At 38.4% G+C, this 20787-nt stretch overlaps 1 protein-coding gene across 22 annotated transcripts in view, besides 2 other annotated features; it reads left to right on the top strand.

Moving 5' to 3' along the window:
- ANKS1B (ankyrin repeat and sterile alpha motif domain containing 1B) overlaps window positions 1–20787 on the top strand; it is a 1250151-nt gene that overhangs the window by 515390 nt on the left and 713974 nt on the right. The window lies entirely within an intron of this gene.
- Window positions 13375–13874: an enhancer, noted in NCBI's record as "NANOG-H3K27ac hESC enhancer chr12:99849451-99849950 (GRCh37/hg19 assembly coordinates)". NCBI's record gives its function as "activates a minimal SCP1, AML or CMV promoter by ChIP-STARR-seq in primed H9 embryonic stem cells {active_cell/tissue: H9 hESC(primed)}" and the evidence as "EXISTENCE:reporter gene assay evidence [ECO:0000049][PMID:30033119]".
- Window positions 13875–14376: an enhancer, noted in NCBI's record as "NANOG-H3K27ac hESC enhancer chr12:99848949-99849450 (GRCh37/hg19 assembly coordinates)". NCBI's record gives its function as "activates a minimal SCP1, AML or CMV promoter by ChIP-STARR-seq in primed H9 embryonic stem cells {active_cell/tissue: H9 hESC(primed)}" and the evidence as "EXISTENCE:reporter gene assay evidence [ECO:0000049][PMID:30033119]".

The following is a 20787-nucleotide window of genomic DNA, read 5'->3' as shown; positions in this document are numbered from 1 at the left end:
TGTAATGGTGATATAAAGACAAATTAGACACATTGTGTCTGCCTTGAAAGAAATCATAATGAGGTAAAAGAGGAAACATTTGAATTTTTTTTTAAATTTTATTATTATTATACTTTAAGTTTTAGGGTACGTGTGCACAATGTGCAGATTAGTTACATATGTATACATGTGCCATGCTGGTGTGCTGCACCCACCAACTCGTCATTTGGCATTAGGTATATCTCCCAATGCTATCCCTCCCCCCTCCCCCCACCCCACAACAGTCCCCAGAGTGTGATGTTCCCCTTCCTGTGTCCATGTGTTCTCATTGTTCAGTTCCCACCTATGAGTGAGAACATGTGGTGTTTGGTTTTTTGTCCTTGCGATAGTTTACTGAGAATGATGATTTCCAATTTCATCCATGTCCCTACAAAGGACATGAACTCATCCTTTTTTATGTCTGCATAGTATTCCATGGTGTATATGTGCCACATTTTCTTAATCCAGTCTGTCATTGTTGGACATTTGGGTTGGTTCCAAGTCTTTGCTATTGTGAATAGTGCTGCAATAAACATACGTGTGCATGTGTCTTTATAGCAGCATGATTTATAGTCCTGTGGGTATATACCCAGTAATGGGATGGCTGGGTCAAATGGTATTTCTAGTTCTAGATCCCTGAGGAATCGCCACACTGACTTCCACAATGGTTGAACTAGTTTGCAGTCCCACCAACAGTGTAAAAGTGTTCCTATTTCTCCACATCCTCTCCAGCACCTGTTGTTTCCTGACTTTTTAATGATTGCCATTCTAACTGGTGTGAGATGGTATCTCATTGTGGTTTTGATTTGCATTTCTTTGATGGCCAGTGATGATGAGCATTTTTTCATGTGTTTTTTGGCTGCATAAATGTGTTCTTTTGAGAAGTGTCTGTTCATATCCTTTGCCCACTTTTTGATGGGGTTGTTTGTTTTGTTCTTGTAAATTTGTTTGAGTTCATTGTAGATTCTGGATATTAGCCCTTTGTCAGACGAGTAGGTTGCGAAAATTTTCTTCCATTTTTTAGGTTGCCTGTTCACTCTGATGGTAGTTTCTTTTGCTGTGCAGAAGCTCTTTAGTTTAATTAGATCCCATTTGTCAATTTTGGCTTTCGTTGCCATTGCTTTTGCTGTTTTAGACATGAAGTCCTTGCCCATGCCTATGTCCTGAATGGTAATGCCTAGATTTTCTTCTAGGGTTTTTATGGTTTTAGGTTTAATGTTTAAGTCTTTAATCCATCTTGAATTAATTTTTGTATAAGGTGTAAGGAAGAGATCCAGTTTCAGCTTTCTACATATGGCTAGCCAGTTTTCCCAGCACCATTTATTAAATAGGGAATCCTTTCCCCATTGCTTGTTTTTCTCAGGTTTGTCAAAGATCAGATAGTTGTAGATATGCAGCATTATTTCTGAGGGCTCTGTTCTGTTCCATTGATCTATATCTCTGTTTTGGTACCAGTACCATGCTGTTTTGGTTACTGTAGCCTTGTAGTGTAGTTTGAAGTCAGGTACCGTGATGCCTCCAGCTTTGTTCTTTTGGCTTAGGATTGACTTGGCGATGTGGGCTCTTTTTTGCTTCCATATGAACTTTAAAGTAGTTTTTTCCAATTATGTGAAGAAAGTCATTGGTAGCTTGATGGGGATGGCATTGAATCTATAAATTACCTTGGGCAGTATGCCATTTTCACGATATTGATTCTTCCTACCCATGAGCATGGAATGTTCTTCCATTTCTTTGTATCCTCTTTTATTTCATTGAGCAGTGGTTTGTAGTTCTCCTTGAAGAGGTCCTTCATGTCCCTTATAAGTTGGATTCCTAGGTATTTTATTCTCTTTGAAGCAATTGTGAATGGGAGTTCACTCATGATTTGGCTCTCTGTTTGTCTGTTATTGGTGTATAAGAATGCTTGTGATTTTTGTACATTGATTTTGTTTCCTGAGACTTTGCTGAAGTTGCTTATCAGCTTAAGGAGATTTTGGGCTGAGACAGTGGGGTTTTCTAGATATACAATCATGTCATCTGCGAACAGGGACAATTTGACTTCCTCTTTTCCTAATCGAATACCCTTTATTTCCTTCTCCTGCCTAATTGCCCTGGCCAGAACTTCCAACACTATGTTGAATAGGAGTGGTGAGAAAGGGCATCCCTGTCTTGTGCCAGTTTTCAAGGGAATGCTTCCAGTTTTTGCCCATTCAGTATGGTATTGGCTGTGGGTTTGTCATAGTTAGCTCTTATTATTTTGCGATACAACCCATCAATACCTAATTTATTGAGAGTTTTTAGAATGAAGCATTGTTGAATTTTGTCAAAGGCCTTTTCTGCATCTATTGAGATAATCACCTGGTTTTTGTCTTTGGTTCTGTTTATATGCTGGATTACATTTATTGATTTGTGTATATTGAACCAGCCTTGCATCCCAGGGATGAAGCCCACTTGATCATGGTGGATAAGATTTTTGATGTGCTGCTGGATTAGGTTTGCCAATATTTAATTGAGGATTTTTGCATCAGTGTTCATCAAGGATATTGGTCTAAAATTCTCTTTTTTGGTTGTGTCTCTGCCAGGCTTTGGTATCAGGATGATTCTGGCCTCATAAAATGAGTTAGGAAGGATTCCCTCTTTTTCTATTGATTGGAATAGTTTCAGAAGGAATGGTACCAGTTCCTCCTTGTACCTCTGGTAGAATTCGACTGTGAATCCATCTGGTCCTGGACTCTTTTTGGTTGGTAAGCTATTGATTATTGCCACAATTTCAGCTCCTGTTATTGGTCTATTCATAGATTCAACTTCTTCCTGGTTTAGTCTTGGGAGGGTGTATGTGTCAAGGAATTTATCCATTTCTTCTAGATTTTCTAGTTTATTTGCATAGAGGTGTTTGTAGTATTCTCTGATGTTAGTTTGTATTTCTGTGGGATCGGTGGTGATATCCCCTTTATCATTTTTTATTGCATCTATTTGATTCTTCTCTCTTTTCTTCTTTATTAGTCTTGCTAGCGGTCTATCAATTTTGTTGATCCTTTCAAAAAACCAGCTCCTGGATTTATTAATTTTTTGAAGGGTTTTTTGTGTCTCTATTTCCTTCAGTTCTGCTCTGATTTTAGTTATTTCTTGCCTTCTGCTAGCTTTTGAATGTGTTTGCTCTTGCTTTTCTAGTTCTTTTAATTGTGATGTTAGGGTGTCAATTTTGGATCTTTCCTGCTTTCTCTCGTGAGCATTTAGTGCTATAAATTTCCCTCTACACACTGCTTTGAATGTGTCCCAGAGATTCTGGTATGTTGTGTCTTTGTTTTCGTTGGTTTCAAAGACCTTCTTTATTTCTGTCTTCATTTCGTTATGTACCCAGTAGTCATTCAGGAGCAGTTTGTTCAGTTTCCATGTAGTTGAGTGGTTTTGAGTGAGTTTCTTAATCCTGAGTTCTAGTTTGATTGCACTGTGGTCTGAGAGACAGTTTGTTATAATTTCTGTTTTTTTACATTTGCTGAGGAGAGCTTTACTTCCAACTATGTGGTCAATTTTGGAATAGGTGTGGTCTGATGCTGAAAAAAATGTATATTGATTTGGGGTGGAGAGTTCTGTAGATGTCTATTAGGTCTGCTTGGTGCAGAGCTGGGTTCAATTCCTGGGTATTCTTGTTAACTTTCTGTCTCGTTGATCTGTCTAATGTTGACAGTGGGGTGTTATAGTCTCCCATTATTATTGTGTGGGAGTCTAAGTCTCTTTGTAGGTCACTTAGGACTTGCTTTATGAATCTGGGTGCTCCTGTATTGGGTGCATATATATTTAGGATAGTTAGCTCTTCTTGTTGAATTGATCCCTTTACCATTATATAATGGCCTGCTTTGTCTCTTTTGATCTTTGTTGGTTTAAAGTCTGTTTTATCAGAGACTAGGATTGCAACCCCTTCCTTTTTTTGTTTTCCATTTGCTTGGTAGATCTTCCTCCATCCTTTTATTTTGAGCCTATGTGTGTCTCTGCACGTGAGATGGGTTTCCTGAATACAGCACACTGATGGGTCTTGACTCTTTATCCAATTTGCCAGTCTGTGTCTTTTAATTGGAGCATTTAGTCCATTTACATTTAAAGTTAATACTGTTATGTTTGAATTTGATCCTGTCATTATGATGTTAGCTGGTTATTTTGCTCGTTAGTTGATGCAGTTTCTTCCTAGCCTCGATGGTCTTTACAATTTGGCGTGATTTTGCAGTGGCTGGTACTGGTTGTTCCTTTCCATGTTTAGTGCTTCCTTCAGGAGCTCTTTTAGGGCAGGCCTGGTGGTGACAAAATCTCTCAGCATTTGCTTGTCTGTAAGGTATGTTATTTCTCCTTCACTTATGAAGCTTAGTTTGGCTGGATATGAAATTCTGGGTTGAAAATTCTTTTCTTTAAGAATGTTGAATATTGGCCCCCACTCTCTTCTGGCTTGTAGAGTTTCTGCAGAGAGTTCAGCTGTTAGTCTGATGGGCTTCCCTTTGTGGGTAACCCGACCTTTCTCTCTGGCTGCCCTTAACACTTTTTCCTTCATTTCAACTTTGGTGAATCTGACAATTATGTGTCTTGGAGTTGCTCTTCTCGAGGAGTATCTTTGTGGTGTTCTCTGTATTTCCTGAATCTGAATGTTGGCCTGCCTTGCTAGATTGGGGAAGTTCTCCTACATAATATCCTGCATAGTGTTTTCCAACTTGGTTCCATTCTCCCCGTCACTTTCAGGTACACCAATCAGACGTAGATTTGGTCTTTTCACATAGTCCCATATTTCTTGGAGGCTTTGTTCATTTATTTTTATTCTTTTTTCTCTAAACTTCCCTTCTGGCTTCATTTCATTCATTTCATCTTCCATCACTGATACCCTTTGTTCCAGTTGATCGCATCGGCTCCTGAGGCTTCTGCATTCTTCACGTAGTTCTCGAGCCTTGGCTTTCAGCTCCATCAACTCCTTTAAGCACTTCTCTGTATTGGTTATTCTAGTTATACATTCATCTAAATTTTTTTCAAAGTTTTTAACTTCTTTGCCTTTGCTTTGAATTTCCTCCTGTAGCTTGGAGTAGTTTGATCGTCTGAAGCCTTCTTCTCTCAACTCGTCAAAGTCATTCTCCGTCCAGCTTTGTTCTGTTGCTGGTGAGGAACTGCATTCCTTTGGAGGAGGAGAGGTGCTCTGCTTTTTAGGGTTTCCAGTTTTTCTGCTCTGTTTTTTCCCCATCTTTGTAGTTTTATCTACTTTTGGTTTTTGATGATGGTGATGTACAGATGGGTTTTTGGTGTGGATGTCCTTTCTGTTTGTTAGTTTTCCCTCTAACAGACAGGACCCTCAGCTGCAGGTCTGTTGGAGTTTGCTAGAGGTCCACTCCAGACCCTGTTTGCCTGGGTATCAGCAGCAGTGACTGCAGAACAGTGGATTTTCATCAACCGCGAATGCTGCTGTCTGATCGTTCCTCTGGAAGTTTTGTCTCAGAGGAGTACCCGGCCATGTGAGGTATCAGTCTGCCCCTACTGGGGGGTGCCTCCCAATTAGGCTGCTTGGGGGTCAGGGGTCAGGGACCCACTTGGGGAGGCAGTCTGTCCCTTCTCAGATCTGCAGCTGCGTGCTGGGAGAACCACTGCTCTCTTCAAAGCTGTCAGACAGGGACATTTAAGTCTGCAGAGGTTACTGCTGTCTTTTTGTCGTCTGTGCCCTGCCCCCAGAGGTGGAGCCTACAGAGGCAGGCAGGCCTCCTTGAGCTGTGGTGGGCTCCACCCAGTTCGAGCTTCCCAGCTGCTTTGTTTACCTAAGCAAGCCTGGGCAATGGCGGGCGCCCCTCCCCAAGCCTCGCTGCCACCTTGCAGTTTGATCTCAGACTGCTGTGCTAGCAATCAGTGAGACTCCGTGGGCGTAGGACCCTCCGAGCCATGCACAGGATATAATCTCCTGGTGCACCGTTTTTTAAGCCTGTCGGAAAAGCGCAGTATTAGGGTGGGAGTGACCTGATTTTCCAGGTGCCATCTGTCACCCCTTTCTTTGACTAGGAAAGGGAACTCCCTGCCCCCTTGCACTTCCCAAGTGAGGCAATGCCTCGCCCTGCTTCGGCTCGCGCACGGTGTGCTGCACCCACTGTCCTGCACCCACTGTCTGGCACTCCCTAGTGAGATGAACCCGGTACCTCAGATGGAAATGCAGAAATCACCCGTCTTCTGCGTCACTCATGCTGGGAGCTGTAGACCGGATCTGTTCCTATTCGGCCATCTTGGCTGCCGCATTTGAATGTTTAAGCTTGTGAATATCTTGTCTTCACATATTAATCAAAACAAAACCAGAAGACTGTATTCCATCCATGCATTCCTATACAAAGGCTTGAGCAGAAGCTGAGGCAAAAGGCTTATACATTTATTTGTACTTTTCTTTTGTGAAGTGCCTGTTGGTAGTTTTTAGTCCAGTTTTCTATTAGGGTATTTTTTTCACCGTGTGAATTATTTGTGAAAGCATGTGTTATTCCATTTTGTATTGCTGTAAAGGAATACCTGAGACTGAGTAATTTATAAAGAAAGGAGGTTTGTTTGGCTTGCAGTTCTGCAGGATGTTCAAGCATGGCATGAACATCTGCTCAGCTTACAATGAGGCCTCAGGAACCTTTACTCATGGTGGAAGGTAAAGGGGGAGAAGGCATATCACATGATGAGAGAGTGAGCAAGAGAGAAGAGGTAGATCCTAGACTCTTTTTAACAGCCAGATCTCATGGTAACTCATGACCTCCACAGGGAGGGCACCAGGCCATTCATGAGGGATCCATTCCCATAATGCAAACACCTCCCAGTATGCCCATCTCCAACAGTGGGGAACACATTTCAACATGAGATTTGGAGGAGACAAGTATACAAACCATATCAGAGAATATCAAATCATTTGATAACATTAATTTCTAGCAGTTGTATGATTTTTCTGTCTCAGTCATTAGTACCTAATTGGTTAAAAAGATGCAGAAGGGGCCACTGAGAACAACTGAGTTCAATCCAAGATGGATTCACCAGAAAGCTGACTTTGAGATGTAGGTTAGCATACAGGAGATTTATTGAGTGATTTCGGAGGCAACACCTGTTAAAGGGAAGCCAGAAATGGCAGCTGGAGAGATCAGGCTGTGATGAAGTCTCAATATAGCCATCCAAAGGCTCCCTAGGGAATTCTGAAACTGGGATGACTCTTCAAAGTCATTCCAAGTTGGCGATAGGACAGGACTATTATACACTTGTGTTGACCTGACATTGAAAGCAGCTTGCACCTGGAAGGGGGCATGGCCTTGGGTCAGTCCATTCTCTTCAGTTGAGGCAATTCCAAAAGAAAGCTGACAGCTGAAGACTGTCTGCCAGCAACACATCATACAGCTAGGAGAATAAATGTTTTATATCTGAAGTTGAATCTGGGTGGTACATTAAAGTGTCAACTGCAAATAGGAATAGGGTTTTGCTCAGTGTATGTGGTAAAATAACAAGAGTGAATGTAGTTACTGGCAAGAGAGTTGTTAAGTGATGGGCCATTGTGTCTAAACTAAATAAGTAAATGTGAAGATGGAAAGGGACTGATAGGTTGGATGAAACTAGATGGATAAAAGGATAGAGATGGGATTAAACAATAGATGTAGTGTGGAAGAGAGAGGAAGTGATTGGACATTGTATCCACAGAATGAGTTACTAGAGATTAAATATCTATATGAAGTAGTTGCTGTTCATAATGAAATACATGGGTTAGCCTTAGACATGGTAATCTGAATAGAATTAAAGCAAAGATTACGTAAGTAGAAATCAAAACACTCAGGCTCAAGAGATTGATTGAAAATGTACGAGGAAACTGACAGTTCCCAAAATGATGATAGGCTTGAGGTGGAAAGCAAGATTGGGAGATACATGCTAATTCTCTGATAAATAAAAGAGAGTAAAAAGAAGTTCATAAATTATAGCTATGAGGAAGTATGGACTATAGCATCATCTGATGAGATTAGACTCATTTTTAAATGAGTGTGAAGGAATACTACTGGAATTTACACTGTCATGTGGAAGAATGAATGTCATTTCACCTCCAACTACTGTGATATTTTATTCAGGGATTTAGCAAGTTCATTTTCTTCTTCTTTTTTTTTAATTTTAATAGGTTTTTAGGAAACAGTTCGTATTTGGTTACATGAATAAGTTCTTTAGTGGTGATTTCTGAGATTTTGGTGTACTCATCACCTGAACAGTGTACACTGTACCCAATGTGTAGACTTTTATCCCTCACTGCCCTTCCACTCTTTCCCCTGAGTCTCCAAAGTCCATTGTATCATTCTTATGCCTTTGCATCCTCATAGCATAGCTCCCACTTATGAGTGAGAACATATGTTTGGTTTTCCATTCCTGAGTTACTTCCCTTAGAATAATGGTCACCAGTTCTATCCAGGTTGCTGCAAATGCCATTATTTTGTTCCTTTTTATGGCTAAGTAGTATTCCATGGTGTGTGTATGTGTATATATATATATATATACATGTATATATCCACCACATTTTCTTTATCCACTCGTTGATTGATGGGCATTTGGGCTGGTTCTATATTTTTGCAATTGTGAATTGTGCTGCTATAAACATGTGTGTGCAAGTATCTTTTTTTGTATAATGACTTATTTTCCTCTGGGTAGGTACCCAGGAGTGGGATTGTTGGATCAAATGGTAGATCTACTTTTACTTCTTTGAGGAATCTCCACACTGTTTTCAGTGGTGGTTTTATTAGTTTACATTCCCATCAACAATGTAAAAGTGTTCCCTTTTCACCACATCCATGTTAACATCCATTTTTTTTTTTTGTTATTATGGCCATTCTTGCAGGAGTAAGGTGGTATCTCATTTTGGTTTTGATTTGCATTTCCCTGATCATTAGTGATGTTGAGCATTTTTTTATATGTTTGTTGGCCATTTGTATATCTTCTTTTGGTAACTGTCTATTCATGTCCTTAACTCAATTTTTGATGAGACTGTTTTTTTCTTGCTGATATGTTTGAGTTCCTTGTAGCTTTTGTTGGATGTGTAGATTGTGAAGATTTTCTCCCACTCTGTGGGTTGTCTGTTTACTCTGCTGATTATTTCTTTTGCTGTGCAGAAGCTTTTTAGTTTAATTAAGTCCCATCTATTTATCTCTGTTTTTGTTGCATTTGTTTTTGGGTTCTTGGTCATGAAGTCTTTGCTTAAGCCAATGTCTAGAAAGGTTTTTCCAATGTTATCTCCTAGAATTGTTATGGTTTCAGGTCTTAGAATTAAGTCTTTAATCCATCTTGAGTTGATTTTTGTTTAAGGGGAGAGATGAGGATCCAGTTTCATTCTTTTACGTGGCTTGCCAATTATCCCAGCACCATTTGTTAAATAGGGTGTCCTTTATGCACTTTATATTTTTGTTTGCTTTGTCAAAGACTGGTTGACAGTAAACATTTGGCTTTATTTATGGGTTCTGGGTTCTGGATTCTCTATTCAGTTCCATTGGTCCATATGTTATTATACCAGTACCATGCTGTTTTGGCAACTGTGGCCTTATAGTATAGTTTGAAGTTCAGTAATGTAATGCCTCTGGATTTGTTCTTTTTGCTTAGTCTTGTTTTGGTTATGTGGGCTCTTTTTGGGGTCCGTATGAATTTTAGGATTGTTTTTTCTAGTTCTGTGAAGAATGATGGTGGTAATTTGATGGGAATTGCATTTAATTTGTAGATTGCTTTTGGCAGTATGGTCATTTTTCACAATATTGATTCTGCTCATTCATGAGATTGGGATGTGTTTCTATTTGTTTATGTCAATCTATGATTTCTTTCAGCAATGTTTTGTAGTTTTCCTTGTAGCAGGCTTTCACCTCTTTGGTTGAGTATATTCCTAATTTTTTTTTTTGTAGCTATTGTAAAAGGGGTTGAGTTCTTGATTTGATTCTCAGCTTGAAAACTGTTGGTGTATAGCAAGGCTACTGATTTGTGTATGTTAATTTTGTATCCTGAAACTTTGCTGAATTCATTTACCAGTTCTAGGAACTTTTTGTATAAGCCTTTAGGGTTTCCTAGGTATGTGATCATGTCATCAGCAAACAGTGACAGTTTAACTTCCTCTTTATTGATTTGGATGGCCTTTATTTCTTTCTTTTATCTGATTTCTCTGGCTAGGACTTCCAGTACTATGTTTAATAGAAGTGGTGAAAGTGGGCATCCTTGTCTTGTTCCAGTTCTCAGGGGGAATGCTTTCAAATTTTCCCCATTCAGTATAATGTCGGCTGTGGGTTTGTCATAGATGCTTTTATTACATTAACGAATGACCTTTATGCTAATTTTACTTAGGGTTTTAATCATAAAGGGATGCTGGATTTCATCAAATGCTTTTTCTGCATCTATTCAGATGATCATGTAATTTTTGTTTTTAATTCTGTTTATGTGGTGTATCACATTTATTGATTTGTGAATGTTAAACCATCCCTGCATTCCTTGTATGAAACCCAGTTGATCATGGTGGATTATCTTTTTGATATGCTGTAGGATTCAGTTAAGTAATATTTTGTTTAGGATTTTTGTATCTATGTTAATCAGGGATATTGGTCTGTAGTTTTCTTTTTATGTTATGTCCTTTCCTGGTTTTGGTATTATGGTGATACTGGCTTCATAGAATAATTTAGGGGGGATTCTCTTTTTCTATATCTTTTGGAATAGATATCAACAGGATTGGTACCAATTCTTCTTTGAATGTCTGAGAGAATTTAGCTGTGTATCTATCTGGTCCTGGCCTTTTTTTCTCGGTAACTTTTTAATTACCATTTCAATCTTGCTGCTTGTTGTTGGTCTGTTCAGAGTTTCTATTTCTTCCTGGTTTAATCTAGGAGGGTTATATATTTCCAGGAATTTATCCATCTCCTCTAGGTTTTCTAGTTTATGCACATAAAAGTGTTCATAGTAACCTTAAATGGTCTTTTGTATTTCTGTGGGATTGGTTGTAATATCTCCTGTTTCATTTCTAATTGCACTTATTTGGATCTTCTCTCTTCTTTTCTTAGTTAGTCTCGCTAATGGTCTATCAATTTTATTTATCTTTTCAAAGAACCAGCTTTCTGTTTATCTTTTGTATTTTTTTTTTTTCAATTTCATTTAGTTCTGCTCCGATCTTGGTTATTTCTTTTTTTCTTCTAGATTTGGGTTTGGTTCTTGTCTCTCTATCTTCTTGAGATATGACTTTAGATTGTCTATTTGTGCTCTCAGATGTTTTGAAGTAGACATTTGATGCTATGAACTTTTCTCTTAGCACCACCTTTGCTGTATCCCAGAGGTTTTGATAGGTTGTGTCACTATTATTGTTCAGTGTAAATTTTTTAATTTTCATATTGATTTCATTGTTTATGCAGTAATCATTCAGGAGTAGGTTATTCAGTTTCTATGTATTTGCATGGTTTTCAGGGTTTCTTTTGGAGTTGAGTTCCAATTTTATTCCACTGTGCTCTGAGAGAGTACTTGCTATGATTTTGAGTTTCTTAAATTTGTTGAGACTTGTTTTATGGCCTATCATATGGTCTATCTTGGAGAATGTCCCCTGTGCTGATGAGTAGAATGTATATTCTGCAGTTGTTGGGTAGAATATTCTGTAAATATCTGTTCTGTAAATATCCGTTTAGTCCATTTGTTCTAGGGTATAGTTCTTTGTTGACTTTCTGTCTTGAAGACCTGACTGCTGTCTGTGGAATATTGAAGTCCCCGACTATTATTGTGTTGCTGTCCATCTCATTTCTTAGGTCTAGTAGAAATTGTTTTATAAATTTGGGACTTCCAGTGTTAGGTGCATGTATATTTAGGTTTGTGATGTTTTCCTATTGGACTAGTCATTTTATCATTATGTATGTCCTTCTTTGTCTTTTTTAACTGCTGCTGCTTTAAAGTTTGTTTTGTCTAATATAAGAACAGCTACTCCTGCTTGCTTTTGGTGTCTATTTGCATGAAGTATCTTTTTTCACCCCTTTACCTTACGTTTATGTGAGTCCTTATGTGTTGGGTGACTCTCTTGAAGACAGCAGATACTTGGCTAGTGAATTCTCATCCATTCTACCATTCTGTGTCTTTTAAGTGGATCATTTAGGCCATTTACATTCAATGTTAATATTAAGACATGAAGTTCTGTTCTGTTTATCATGCTATTTGTTGCCTGAATACCTTGGTTTTTTTTTCATAGTGTTGTTGTTTTATAGGTCCTGTGAGATTTGTGCTTTAAGGAGATTCTATTTTGGTGTATTTCGAGGATTTGTTTCAAGATTTAGAGGTTAAAAAAAAATTTAGAGCTCCTTTTAGCCATTCTTTTAGTGATGGCTTGGTAGTGGCAAATTCAGCGTTTATTTTTCTGAAAAACACCATCTTTTTTTCATTTATGCAGCTTAGTTTCACTGGACACAAAATTCTTGGCTGATAATTGTTTTATTTAAGGAGGCTAAAGAGAACCCCAATCCCTTCTAGCTTGTAGGATTTCTGCTGAGAAATCTGCTGTTAATCTGATAAGTTTTCCTTTATAGGTTATCTGATGCTTTTGCCTCACAGCTCTTCATCTTGACTTTAGATAACCTGATGACTATCAGGTGCCTAGGCGATGATCTTTTTGTGATGAATTTCCCAGGTGTTTTTTGAGCTTTTTGTATTTGGATGTCTAGATCTCTAGCAAGGCTGGGAAAGTTTTTCTCTATTATTCCCTCAAATATGTTTTCCAAACTTTTAGATTTCTATTCTCCCTCGGGAACATCAATTAGTTTTAGGTTTGATCATTTAATATAATCCCAAATTTTCTTGGAGGCCTTGTTCATTTTAAAAAAAAAATTTTCTTTGTCTTTATCAGATTGGGTTAATTTGAAAGCCTTGATTTCAAGCTCTGAAGTTTTTTTCTTCTACTTGTTTGATTCTATTGTGAGACTTCCCAGTGCATTTTGTAATTCTCTAAGTGTGTCCTTCATTTCCAGAAGTTGTGATTTTTTTTATGCTATCTATTTCACTGGAGATTTTTCCATTCATATCCTGTATCATCTTTTTTGATTTCTTTAAGTTGCACTTAACCTTCCTCTGGTGCCTCCTTGATTGGCTCAGTAGTCGACCTTCTGAATTCTTTTTCTGGCAATTCAGAGGTTTCCTGTTGATCTTGACCCATTGCTGGTAAGCCAGTATGTTCTTTTGGAGGTGTTAAAGAACCTTGTTTTGTCATATTACCAGAATTGTTTTTTTCTGGTTCCTTCTTATTTGGGTAGACTATTTCAGAGAGAAGATCTAGGACTCAAGGGCTTCTGTTAAGATTCTTTGTCTAATGGGGTGCTCTCTTGATATGGTGCTCTTCCCTTTCCCCTAGGGATGGGGCTTCCTGAGAGCTGAAGTGACTGTTATTTTTCTTCTGAATCTAGCCTCCCAGTGGAGCTACTGGGCTCCAGGCTGGTACTGGGAGTGTCTGCAAAGAGTTCTGTGATTTGACCCATCTTCAGGTCTCTCAGCTGTGGATACCATACCAGCACCTGCTCTGGTGGAGGTATCAGGAGAGTGAAGTGGACTCTCTGAGGGTCCTTGGTTGTATTTTTGTTAAGTGCGCTGGTTTTGTTTTGGTTGTCCTCAAGCCAGGAGGTGGTGCTTTCAATAGCACATCAGCTGCAGTAGTATAGGAAGGATCAGGCCGTGGGTGGGGCCATAGAGTTCCCAAGAGATTATGTCCTTAGTCTTCAGCTACCAGGGCCAGCAGACAATAACCATCAAGTGGGGACAGGGTTAGGTGTGTCTGAGCTCAGACTCTCCTTGGGTGGGGTTTGCTGTGGCTACTGTTGGGGGTGGGGTTGCAGTTCCCAGGCCAATGGAGTTATATCCCAGGGGGATTATGGCTGCCTCTGCTGAGTCGCACAGGTCACCAGGAAAGTGGTGGAAAGCCAGCAGCCACAGACCTCACCCAACTCCCACACAGCCCACAGCCCAAAAGGCCAGTCTCATTCCCACTGTGCCCTGCCAACAGCACCGTTTATTTCCAGGCAGCCTATGAGCAGGACTAAGAACTTGCCCCAGGCTACAAACCTCCCTGCTGAGAAAGCAAGCTGACTCACAGAGCCTGCAGTGGCAATCTACTCCTTCAAAGGGTCTGTGGTTTTCTCTGCTTTCCTGGTATGTTCCTATGGTAGTTCTTGGAGCAAAAGTTCATGATGTGGGTCTCCACATGCTGCTCTGTCCATCTGAGTGGCAGCTGCAAGTTAGTCCTGCCTCCTATCCACCTTTTTCCCCCTTTACTCTCAGCAGGTTCATTTTCTAACTTCCTTTCATAGAGAGTCAGTGGCTACTTAGTAGGGGTTCTGGCCTGGTGGGCTAGTGCTAGGGTGTGTCTTGGTCAGGTTGGGTGTTTACATAATTTTGGAATGAATAGAAAGATATAGAAGATGAATACAGGGACCACTAAGAGTACAACCGGAGAAAAGAATAGGTTGTTAAGACAAAAGGGAAAGCATACAACCTAAAATGGGACTCAAAACCAGGAGAGCCTGAAGAGCCAAAATAAGAATTGAAGCACAAGTGCATTAGTAAAACAGAGAATCCACGGATTACTGATGTGATGCAAAATATTTTCTTTCTTTTTTACTTTCTTCATTGCTTAACATTTAGTCCATAAAAGTAAGCATTGGGAGGGAACCCATCTTCTATGGCCTCCCTTTCTCTTTCATTTTCTTAACTGTGCAGTTCTCCAGGATTCTAGTTCAGTCTTGCTAGCCAAGGCCAGGGAATTGTCATTCTTGGCATCATCCTGGGAGGAGGAAGGTAAAATTCTACAAGACTCCTGCATTTCTCATAAATCCTTGAGATTCTTCAGAGTAGAGAATTTATAAGACAAGGAAACATTTCTCCTACTAATATTGCTCACCAATTACAGCATACCTCTGGTGAATTATTATGCTAAAAGACCATCTCCCTGCCATGGGTTGAGAAAGAGGAGGAAACAAAAGTAAAGGAAAGGTGGGAGAGAGCACACTCTCCCAACCATCTGTTCATTGCACTGCTTTTTATGTTTGAATTGAGATCTTGGACTTTTAGATGTCCTCTAACTCTTCGAGTTTTTGACTCTTTGCTAGAACTTCTCTGGTGTAGATAAGACCAAAGTTCTTATTGGCTTGAAGCTGCTAGTCAATCATTCTACTCTTTAGCACACAGATGTGGCCTCTTGCATGCAGAGAATTTTAAAGTGACTATAGCCTTGTGGTCTGTTCTTTTTATAGATGAAAGTAGCATTTGATCATAGCCTCAAGGAAAGTAATTTTAGAAATGCAATGTGGCTGACTTTTTTTCCTAAATAGAAAAATTTAATCTTTTACAAAGGCAATTTTGTTTTCTTTTTATACACCTTTCCATCTTTCATCTGAATACTTTATCTTGCCAACATCATCTCCATTCACTTTTCCACACATATCCTGTGCTTCAGCCAAGCTGAACTATTTATAGCTTCCCAAAGGCATAATGCTCGTTCATGCTTCTGCCCTGTTGCATATTCTGTTTTCTTTGCCTGGAATGCTTCTCCCTCTTTGAGTTCTTGATGGCACTCATTCCTCAAGGCTATTACATTTTTTTTCTTCACTTTCTCTTTCTGCCTATAACCTAACTTTCTGCTCTGGCCCCCTCATTTGGTTAGTGGCTCATTCTTCTGTGTTCCCATATTGCTGAATTTGTAGCATAAGTAACACAATTTTGTAATTATATTTGCCCTTCTATGTTTTCCATTAAGTAGTCAGCTCCTTCAAAACAAGGCTGAAAGTCTAAGCACCATTGTAGCACAAACATGTTGGCCATGTTATAAACGTTAACCAAACATTTACTATATTAGTTATCTATTGCTATTTGTGGCCGAAAATAACAAACATTAATTATCTCACAGGGTCAGGAAACTAGGAGGGACTTAGCGGGATGCCTCTGACTCAAGATTTCCCGGGAGGCTGTAAGCAAGCTGTTGGCTAGAACTGCAGTCTTTTCAAGGCTTGACTGGGGCTGAAGGATTTGCTTCCAAGCTAACTCGTGGCTGTTAACAAGGTTCAGTTTCTGGTGGGCTGTTGAAATGAGGGCCTCAGCTCCTTACCATGCCACGTAGGCCTTTGCATAAGGTTGTTCACAATGTGGTTACTTGCTTTCCTCAGTGCAAGAGATCTGAGAAGGAGGACACACACAAGACGGAAGCCACAGTCTTTTTTTATAACCTATTCCCAGAAGTACAACTCATCTCTTCTTTTTTTTTCTTTTTTATTCTTTTTATTTGAGACGGACTCTCGCTCTGTCACCCAGGCTGGAGTGCAGTGGTGCAATCTCGGCTCACTCCAAGCTCTGCTTCCCGGGTTCACACCATTCTCCTGGCTCAGCCTCCGGAGTAGCTGGGACTACAGGCACCCACCACCACGCCTGGCTAATTTTTTGTATTTTTAGTAGAGACGGGGTTTCACCATGTTAGCCAGGATGGTCTCGATCTCCTGACCTTGTGATCCGCCCACCTTGGCCTCCCAAAGTGCTAGGATTACAGGCGTGAGCCACTGTGCCCGGCCTCATCTCTTCTTTGTTAGAAGCAATTCAACGAGTTCAACTCACACCCTAGGGGACAAAATTTCACAAAAGTGTGAATACCATGAGGTGGGGCTCAATTGGGACCATCCTAGAGGCTGTCTACCACACATTTCATCTGGTAAAGTTGCTGGCTAATTAAGACTTGAATATTTAACACTATTGTTGGTGATAGTAATGGAAGTTCAAACCCGGTATATTTAAGAGAATTGTTACTTTTTAACAAACCTTCACTAGAGAAAGTAAAATGTGTTAATTATTTGGATTATTAACTAATTCTCTTAAATTACTGTTAAATATTATCTTCCTCAAGTGGTACATAGTGAGTACTTTCTCACTGAAAATACTGAAACAGGATACTTGGGCTTTTTTACTTATGATTTCTGTACTGTTTCTCCCAGAAGTGGTAGTCATGTACAATCACTACAACAAAGTTACTTTAAAATGTAAAGATTTCATTGGTCTTATTTATTTATCTATTTAATGAGCATATATTGAACAGTTGCTGTGTACAAAGGACTGCCCTGGTGTTAGATATAATGCCATTTTTTGTACAAATGACAAATTTCTAGCTTTATATTGAAAACCTTAGTTTTTAATTACACAGTGAGAATGTTCATCTATAATATGAATATGGAAATGAAAATGTATAATATAACATTCTTCTAGGTCTGTCCATAAAAGGGAAAACATTTCCATAGGAAGTACTTAAGACAGGGATCTACAAGTTATCACCAACAAACTTAATCTTGTCTACTGCTTGTTTTTGTAAGTAAAATTTTCTTGGAATACGGACACACCCATTTGCTTATATATTTCCTGTGGCTGCCTTCTCGCTACCCAAAGAGAGTAGAGTAGTTACAACAAAGATCATGTAGCCTTACAGAGCTTACAATATTTACCATCTGGCCCTTTACAGAAAAAATTTGTCAACTCTTGACTTAATACCAAAACGTAAAAATTGTGCTTCATGAATTGTTAGATTAGGATTTATTAAATACTTATATTTGATGATTACTTAGTGATGCAAGTGATGCACTTAGGATTTTCCATAATAAGGCATCAAGCCACCTATCTAGTTTTATTTGCTATTATGATTATATTCATATATCTGATAATAATAGTAATAGATAATTTTATTGAGCACTTACTATGTGTCAGGCAATGTATTCACACACAGACATACACATACACACACACACACACGTATCTGTACATGCCTCATTTGTCTTTGTAACACTATGTGAAAGGCACTGTTTTACAGAAGATGAAACTGAAGTTAAATATACCAGAATTTCAGCTTAGGGTTTTCTGATTTCAAAGCCCAAAGTCTTTGTGTATGACTCCTCCATTTCTTAGCATTTCCTCCATGAATATTATATTTTATTCAAACTGAACTCTTCTTTATTCCACAAATGTGCCTCTTTCCCATCTCTCTACATTTTGCTCAACCTGCTTCCAACTCATGGAACGCCCTTCCCAGCCATTTCTTCATGCCTGAATTTTACTAGTCTGTCAGAGGCCTTCATAACTCCTGCCTCTTCCATGACAGCTTTCTTGAATTCCCAGCCAGAAGTAATCTCAGTCCTATTCTTCAGCTGAAAAGCATCTATCATGGTCCCTGGTATACTTAAACTGTTTGTTACATGCTGGGTATTGATGTTAAAATACTAGACTGTAATGTTGCACATGAATTATTTTATAGTCATAGAATATTTTTCTTCTAAAAGATAAAATAAACTATAAGTATTTTTTCTAATGTTGTTATTATAGACTAAACTGACATTCATAATGAATAATTAATATGTAGTAAGGGAATCTGACAAGAAGATAGTCCTCTTATTTCAATCTGAAATTGCAAGTATATTTTGCAGTTTTCCCTAAGCAGTTTTATGTGCCTCATTTCCTTTTTATCAGCAATATTTTGTAACTGCATATGTGAAATGTAGGTTGAGCATGTAAAACTGTCTTGGTCATAGGCTGCTATTTTACCAAGTCCACTGGATAATTGGTATTTTTTGTAAATTATATTATCAAGGATATTTTGGGAATAAACCAGCTTCTTAAGACTCATATATCTTCTAGAATATGCTTCTCATTTGGATTTTCTTTGAAAGGATCATGGAATTATTATAAAAGCCAGACCAGCTTTCTTCATATTATTAAATACATTTGTGTTGGTTTCCATTGACACAGGTTTTGCTTTATCTACTTTACTTCATTTATTACTTTAAAAGGATTGCATTAAGCTAAGAGCTATATAGAGAGAAATATGACTTTATGCAAAAATATAACCTAGTCTGGAAGAGTTAATGAACAATGCAAGATAGTACAAAATCAAATTATCAGTGTAATGGTATAGCTCATGGATTCAGAAGATGAAGATACTTAGTCTTTTCTAAATAATTTAGTACTTAATTATCCACTGTCTTATACTATGTATTAAAATACTCAGAAAAAAAACATTCAAGAAGCTGTTGGCTTACAGTTTGCAGGGAGTTCCCAGCATTTTCTTCTGGCTTTAGTGCAAAAGCAGTTAAGACCAGCCCTTGCAATGAATCATTCCTGTTGTGTTTAATTTTATAAGTTCAACTTAACTAGTCCGTGAGATGCCCACACATTTGGCTAAACATTATTTGGGATGTATCTGTGAAGGTGTTTTTGGATGAGATTAATATTTGAATGGCAGACTGAGTAAAGCAAATCATCCACCCTACTGTTATTGGCCTTATTCAATAAATTGCGGACCTGAATTGAACAAAAAGGCCGAGTAAAGGGGAATTTCTCCTGCCTGACCTCTTGAGCTGGAACACTGTTTTTTTCCAGGCCTCCAGACTTGGACTGAAATGTTGGCTCTTGACTTCGAGTCTGCCAACCTTTGGATTAGAATTTACAGCATCAACTTCCTTGGTTCTCAGGCCTTTGGATTTACAATGGAACTACACATAGGCTGTCCTGCACCTCCAGCTTACCAACTGCAGATCTTTGGACTTCTTAGGCTCCATTAATTATATGAGCTAATGCCTTACAGTAAATCTTTGTCTAGATAGATAGATAGATAGATAGATAGATAGATAGATAGATAGATAGATAGATAGATGGATAGATCCTGTTGGTCCTATTTCTCTGGATAACTTTGAACAGTACAATGTCTCAAAGGATCATCTGCTATTTCTGGAACTAAATTCTGTCCCTACCAATTTGTGTTAATAGCTAAAAGATACTGCTCTCAAATATCACGCAAGTACTCTAGATGTGTTGTCTAAAAAGGATAACTATTTGTTTTCTTGTTTTCCCTCTGGGTTTCTTTGATCTTCCATATTTTATTTTAATTCTGATGGTGTTTCTTTTGATAATGGAAAAGGAAACTCATATACTGAAAACCCCTATTATGTGCCTAAAAACATACAAGTTATTTTTCTTTTCTTTTATCTGCACACGTAAATGATAGAAGATGGTAGTTAATCATTTGCATTTTTACAGTTAAGAAACTTGAAATCCAGAAAGATTAAATAAATGATCTAGTGTTACACAGGCAAGTTGTTCACAGACTTCAGCATCTGGTATTAGGATATAAGTTTCGATGCTTTTAAAAATTAACATTTATTAAAAGACTAAGAGTTAGTTATATTTAAATGTGTATCTTGTAACAACAGGTTGAATAATAAGCAACACAGAATTGATGATGAAACTAACAGCGGAACAGGATTGCATGAGTCAGAACCACAAATCCAGAAATGGATCCGTAAAGACTTTAGATGCTGGAATTATCAGATTAAAAAACCAAAGCCAATTGTATTTGCCATTTTAATATAAAAGTAAGCTTGAAAATGTTTTTAGGAACTAAAAAATACAAACTACTGACATCATATACTTGATTAAGAACCAAATAGAAATTTTAGAACAGAAAAGTCTACTAAAATTAAGAAAATGGTTTGATAGCAGCCTTGACACAGCTGAAGAAAGAACCAATAAACTAGAAAATAAATAGAAGAAACTATTAAAAATGCAACAGAGAGACAGAATGAAAAGAGAGAATAAATGGTTAAAAGAATAAAGTCTGTCTAGCATTACTTCAATAGAGTCCAAAGGGAGAGAGAGAATGGGAAGGCAATATTGGAAGTTATATGGTAGAGAATTTATGCTCCTCCTATAGTCTGTCCCTTTTCTGCTGATGGCAGCTCTATCCTTTTAGTTCCTCAGGCCAAAAGCCTTAGAGTCATTCTTGATTTC

Source organism: Homo sapiens, chromosome 12, assembly GCF_000001405.40.
Source record: "Homo sapiens chromosome 12, GRCh38.p14 Primary Assembly".
Taxonomy (NCBI): Eukaryota; Metazoa; Chordata; class Mammalia; order Primates; family Hominidae; genus Homo; species Homo sapiens.
Note: the sequence above shows the minus strand (reverse complement) of the source record. Positions and strands in the feature narration are given on the sequence as shown.